Source organism: Homo sapiens, chromosome 11, assembly GCF_000001405.40.
Source record: "Homo sapiens chromosome 11, GRCh38.p14 Primary Assembly".
NCBI lineage: Eukaryota > Metazoa > Chordata > Mammalia > Primates > Hominidae > Homo > Homo sapiens.
This window is the reverse complement of record NC_000011.10, coordinates 69423702-69429963: the sequence shown is the minus strand read 5'-3', so window position 1 is coordinate 69429963 and position 6262 is coordinate 69423702. Positions and strand designations below refer to the sequence as shown.

Below are 6262 nucleotides of genomic sequence, written 5' to 3'. Positions count from 1 at the left end.
CAGCCCTAGCTGAGGGTATGCAGCCAAAGCAGGGCACACCTGGTGTTTCTGGAAACCCCTCTCCCCATGCCACTGCGTGCCAGCTCCAGTGGCCCCCGTGTCGGTCCTTAGGACTCTGGCCACCCACACGCTGAGCTCCCACAGGGCAGGTCCAATGCCCAGCACACAGGGGAAGCTCAGCCCATGTGCCGGCGGAACGGTGAGATGGGTGTGAATGAACAAATGAAGCATCTCTCTCCCCCTCCCCTCCCCAGCTTCTCAACCACAGAATCTGTGCCTGGCTCAGGAAATGTACCCTTCGTGTGGGTTTTCTATTGCTGCGTAACAAATGGTCACCAATTGAAAAGCTTAAAATGGCATTTATCTATTGTCTTAAAGTTTGGGCAGGTCAGGAGCCAGGACATGGCATAGCTGGGTCTTCTGTCTCATGGGGCTGCAGTCAAGGTGCCAACCGGAGCTGGGGTCTCCTCTGAGGTTTGGGACCCTCTTCCAAGCTCTCTCGGTTGTGGAAGATTGCATTTCCTTGCCCCTGTTCCTCATGGGGCTGGATCTCCAAATCCTGCAGGAGAGTCTCTGACTTCAAGGCCATTTTGAAAGGGCTCACCTGATTAGCTTGGGCCCACCCAGGATCATCTCCATTTTGATTAACTCAAGGTCAGCTGGTTAGGACCTTAATTACACCTGCAGAAGTCCGGCACCTTTGCGATATAAAGTAACCTCACCACGGGAGCACATCCACCCTCTTTGCAGCCCTGCCACACTCCAAGTTGGGGAGTACACAGGTGTGTAGACACCTGGGGGCAGGGATGCTGGAAAGCGTCTGAGTCTCCTCCCAACCACGCTCTCCTTGGCTCTGAGACTGAGTCCTGGCCCCAGGTAGGTAATGAGTGAAGCTTTGCGGAATGAATACACGAGGGAATGAGTGAGTGAGTGAATGTGTGAGTCTGGCATCTTCCATCAAACTGTGACCTTCCCAGGGCCAGGGTCCACATTGGACTCACCTCTGAAATCGCCATGCCAACTAGTGCTCCTGGTTACCTATGACGCTTTGAATGCTCACCTGAGCGAGTGGAGGAGGGAGTGGCGCCCCTGTCTCTCCTCAAGGTCAGTGTCTGTGCAGAGCAGCTCCAAGACCCATTCCTCTGGGAGCCAGGTACAGGGCCGCAAGCTCTGTCCTCGGCACCATCTCCTCTGGCTCCTCCATGCAGCTGACCCTCCAGTGCACAGCAGCAGCCCCCAGGGCAGCACTGGCCACACAGGGACCAGTGGAGGCAGGCTCCTGGCTGTGAGACCTTGGGCAAGGCCTTCTGTCCCGACCCTCCTGGTCTCCATCAGCAAGAGAGGGGTGGCAACACCTGGCTGGCGTAAGGATGGAGCATTCCCCGCATGGCCAGCTCTCAGGGCAATGCCTGGTGCCGTCCAGATGCCCACACCGTTGCCTCCTTTCATCCCTCCAAGAGCATCACCAGGCAGGTGCTGTCATTATGCCCATTTTATAGCTTGGTAAACTGAGGCACAGAGAGGTTAGGTAATACATACAAAGCTGGGGATTGGGCCCAGACAGTCTGGCTCTAGCCATATTGGAAGGGCATTCCCCCTCACCCCTGACTACTGGGTTCCTGAGTAGTGAGTTGAAGACCCTGCTCGTCAGTGTGCTGTGTGACGTTAGCAAGCCAGCTGTCCTCTCTGTTTTGGCCACTGTGTTGGGCTTCCTGGGGCTGCTATAACCAAGTGCCACAGGCTACACGGCTTAAACCACAGAAGTGTATCGTCTCACAGCTCTGGAGGCCAGAAGTTCAAAATGAAGGTTGGGCAGGGGTGGTTCCCGCTGGAGCTCTGAGACGAGGATCTGCTCCAGGACCTCCTTGGCTTGGAGGTGGCCGCCTTCCTGTTCCCAGGGCGCCCTCCCTGTTTGTGTCTCTCTCTGTGTCCAAATTTCCCCTTTTTAGAAGGATGCCAATTAAATTGGATTTGGGCCCACCCTCATGGCCTCATTTTAACTTAATTACCTCTCTAGCGACCCTTTCTCCAAACAACGCCACATCCCGAGGTACTGAGGTATCCTGAGATACCACATCCCGAGGTACACTCCAACATATGAATTTTGGGAGGACATGATTCAGCCAATAGCAACCACAGCAAACTGAGGTGAATTTCCATCCTTGCCCCAGGTAGCACTGTGAGGGACTGAGCTGCTAGGCACCTTAACTCTTTTATTTTTATTACCTGGGGCTCTGAAATCTCACACCCAAACCTTGGGCTGTGTGTCCGTCCCTGGGAGGTCCTGACCTCACTGGCCTCTGACCCAGGGCTTATCTGTCACTCCTCTTTCTTCTGGATTCCGGTTGCAGGCATTGATCCCTTCCCTGGGGTTTATTTTGCTGGGTGTCAGGCAGGAAAAGGGTCAAATTCCAGCATGCAGGTCCGATGTTGCATACCAGGACAGCAGGCATGGGCCACTTCCCCTGGCTGCAGGGAATTTGTCCAGACTGAAGAGGATGCGGCCCTGCCAGCGGCCCAGAGCTGCTGCTCCTCCAGGGGCAGCTGAACTCAGCACCCAGCCTCAGGAAACAGCGGATTTGAAAGCAGAAATCCTTTTCTCTGAAAAGGGAAAAGAAAGTTCCTTCTCAGCATCTCTGGCTTCTTCTCCCCTCTGCTGACCCCAAACTGAGGCACTCATTTTACCTTAGCAGGGGTAAGAAAAAAGGCACGTTAAAAACATTTTGTTTACACTTATTACAAAAATAACGCATCGTCTTTTACCTCGACACGTCCCCAATCTCCCCTCAATCATTAGGGGCAATCCTGGGTTCGGGCTGATTCCAGACGTCCAGAACAAAAGGAAACACTCGACCTCACCCCTTCCCTCGCATATGGCTTACTATCTATCTATCTATTTATTTATTTGAGTTATACAAGCAATACATGTTCAGTATGCACACCTTGGAAAGAAGAGATGGAAAAATATCACCTGCAACCTCTCAGCCACTAATAACCCTCACAAGGATTAGCATGTACCCTTCCATTCTTCTTCCGACACACGTGTGCATGGCTGTGTGTGCATTTACACGAGTGTAGTTACGCACTAATTCAATCCTGCAAACTTGGTGTTAGGGTTAGACAGCTGCCTTTCTTATTAGATAATTTTTTTTAAATTCCAGTTAAAATTAGCAAAGGTGGCAAGGTGCGGTGGCTCACGCCTATAATCCCAGCACTTCAGGAGGCTGAGGCGGGCGGATCACCTGAGGTCAAGAGTTCAAGACCAGCCTGGCCAACTTAGCGAAATCCCGTCTCTACTAAAAATGCAAAAATTAGTCGGGCATGGTAGCGCATGCCTGTAGTCCCAGCTACTCGGGAGGCTGAGGCAGGAGAATCGCTTGAACCCAGGAGGCGGAGGTTGCAGTGAGCCAAGATGGCACCACTGCAATCCAGCCTGGGCGATGGAGTGAGACTCTGTCTCAGAAAAAAAAAAAATTCATCGAAGGCAAGGAGTTGTTATACACCTTAACGTTAACAAAATGGGTTTTAAAAAGAGAAAAGTGGTTTCTGGGGAGGATGTGGCAAAGCTGGCACTCACACATGTATCAGCAGGTTCATGGGTATGAAGCGCACATGTGGTCAGTACTGCCTTCCCACGCGCACCCACATGCACCCACGCGCACCCACATGCATCCACGCGCACCCACACACCCATGCACACTTGTGTTGAACCTTTGTCCCTTGCCTGTCCAATATCTCTCCCACTTCTTCGTCTCGTTTTTAAAGTTAATTTTATTTTTTTCTGGCAGTTTCAGGTTTACAGAAAAATTGAGAAGAAAGTGCAGAGAGTTTCCACATCCGCCCCCTACCCGCAGTTCCCCCTATTACTAACATCTCACTTTGGTGCCGGGTGTCAGGCACCAGGCGTCCTTCTGGCCACGCTGATCGGCTCCTTTGTCACAACTGAGGAGCGCCTGGGATTACTTTATTATGAGACTAAGGCTCCTAGTTTACATGAGGGCTCACACTTGGTGCAGTACGTTCCATGAAATTTGACAAATGTTATGGGGACATGTGCCCACCGCGCCAGTATCCTACAGAAGAGTTTCACTGCCCTAAGCATCCTGTGCTCCTCCTGTCCATCCCTCCCTCCCCGCTAACCCCTGGCAACCACTGACCTTTTTACCATCTCCATAGTTTTGCCTTTTCCAGAAAGTCACGTAGTTGGAATCATAGAGAAAGTAGCCTTTTCGGATTGGTTCTTCTATCTAGCAATATGCATTTCAGCTTCCTGTGAGTCTTCCCATGACTTGCGAGCTCATCCCTTTCTAACAGGAAAAAATATTCTTCCCTCTGATTGGCCCAGGGATGGCCACATGACCCAAGCTAGACCAATGAGAGTTCTACCTGGGATTTCGGCCAGAGTGGGTCTGAACATAGACTCTTTCTTCCCATCAGAATCACAAAAGTCCCTCGCGTTGGCCTGAAAGTGAAGTCAGCATAGAGACAGCAGATGCACAGAGATGGTGTTGTCATGCCATCATTGTCACCTTCTCAGTCGTGTGGTGCCTAAGGTTTACAGCTGGGTTCTCTTGTTACATAAGCCAGCATGTTCCCAGTTTTGCAGAAGGGTTAGGGCTTCTGTTACTTGCAACCAAAACCCCTAAGATAAAGACAAATGTTTTTTACATGCACCTTTTTTTTTGTCAACAAATTCATATGATGTTATTATTTTAAACATTTTTATTAGGGTAAGATTTGCATGCAATAAAATTCACCCTTTTAAAGTGTACAGTTATGTGAGTTTGACAAACACAGCTGTGTTTGATCCCTTTGCCACAACTGAGATCCAGGACAGCCTCATCAGCACAAAAAACTTCTCACTCTGCTCCCCCTCCTCCTGCTCCTGGGAAACACAGAACCCGTTTCCTGCCCCTACAGTCTTGCCTTTTCCAGAACATCACATAAATGGAATCATACAGTGTGCAGACTTTGAGTCGGCTTCTTAGCACGATGCATTTTGGACCATCCATTTGGCTTGTTCTTTTTCATGGCTCAGTAGTATTCCACTGAATGGATGTACCACAGTTTGTTCATCATTCCTCAGCTGAAAGACATTTGGGTTGTTTCTAGTCTGGGGTATTTAAGAATACAGACTCTACACACATCTGTGCACAGATCTTTGTGTGTACTTAAGTCAACTCTAAGGAGGTGTTAGGACCTTGAAGTCAGGACAGTTGGGCCCTCAAAGGATTCTCCTCAGCCTTGCCACATTGCTTTCAGAACTCAGACATATTCTAAGAATGAGAAAGAGGGCTGCTAGGAGAATTCCCCCTACAATCATCAGAAGAAAGGCTTCCAGAAGCAGCCACCCCACTCTTCTCTGTTGGCCTGAACGAAGCCCACCATCAGATGATGAGATTCAAGGGTCCAGTGGGGTGCAGTGTAATGTTTTGATAAACACATACAATAGGGAATGATTCAATCAAGCTATTAACATATCCATCTCCTTGCTCACAGGTATCAACGCATCACATAAATATACAATTACCATTTGTCAGTGCAAAATAATGTTAATATACAATTACTACTTGTCAATGCAAAATAATATTAACATACAATCACCATTTGTCAATGCAAAATAATATTAATATACAATTATCATTTGTCCTTGCAAAATAATATTAATAATAAATATGAATATTAATAATATTAACAATGCATAATAATGTTTACATAATTAATATTAGTCAGTTAATAATATTAATAATTAATACTCAATGCAAAATAATATTAATAATAAGAGCATCCAGTTGGAGTTGCCAGGATGGAGATAACAATGACAAAAATGATGATAATGATTATCTAATGATCCACTCAGCCCTGGCATGGGTCTGACACCCACATGTTATTTTTTTCAGGTCTCATAATACTATTCCAAAGGTCCCCGTCCCTAGTGTCACTGTGAAGATCCTGAAGCTTGCACATGCTCGAGGCAGAGTGAGAGGCATGCCTTCTGTTCACCCGAGACCCACAGTCTGCTTTAGATCCCAAGCAGGTGTTTACGGCAGTTCTCCCCGAAGGACCCCAACCATTGCATGGCAGTTCTCATGGCTTGTTCCATTTGGTGCATCCGTAAGGAGACTCACCCCAGGGCTGGGCCAGGAATTTCACCCTCCCACCTGCTTCCGACTTACAGATGGGACCTGGCTGGGCCCTCACCGCTGTCTTACCCTGGCCAGGCGACTCAACTCAAAGGAAGCCACCTACGCTGTTCAACCTG

General features: G+C 48.9%; 1 long non-coding RNA gene across 1 annotated transcript; it reads right to left on the bottom strand.

The window, feature by feature from the left end:
* Positions 1-339: 339 nt before the first annotated feature.
* On the bottom strand, positions 340-4309 carry LINC02953 (long intergenic non-protein coding RNA 2953). The gene is made up of 2 exons (NR_172877.1): positions 4158-4309; positions 340-2601 (listed from the first exon to the last, which is right to left on the bottom strand). It is a non-coding gene; the product is annotated as a long intergenic non-protein coding RNA 2953 (long non-coding RNA).
* Between the last annotated feature and the right edge of the window lie 1953 nt (positions 4310-6262).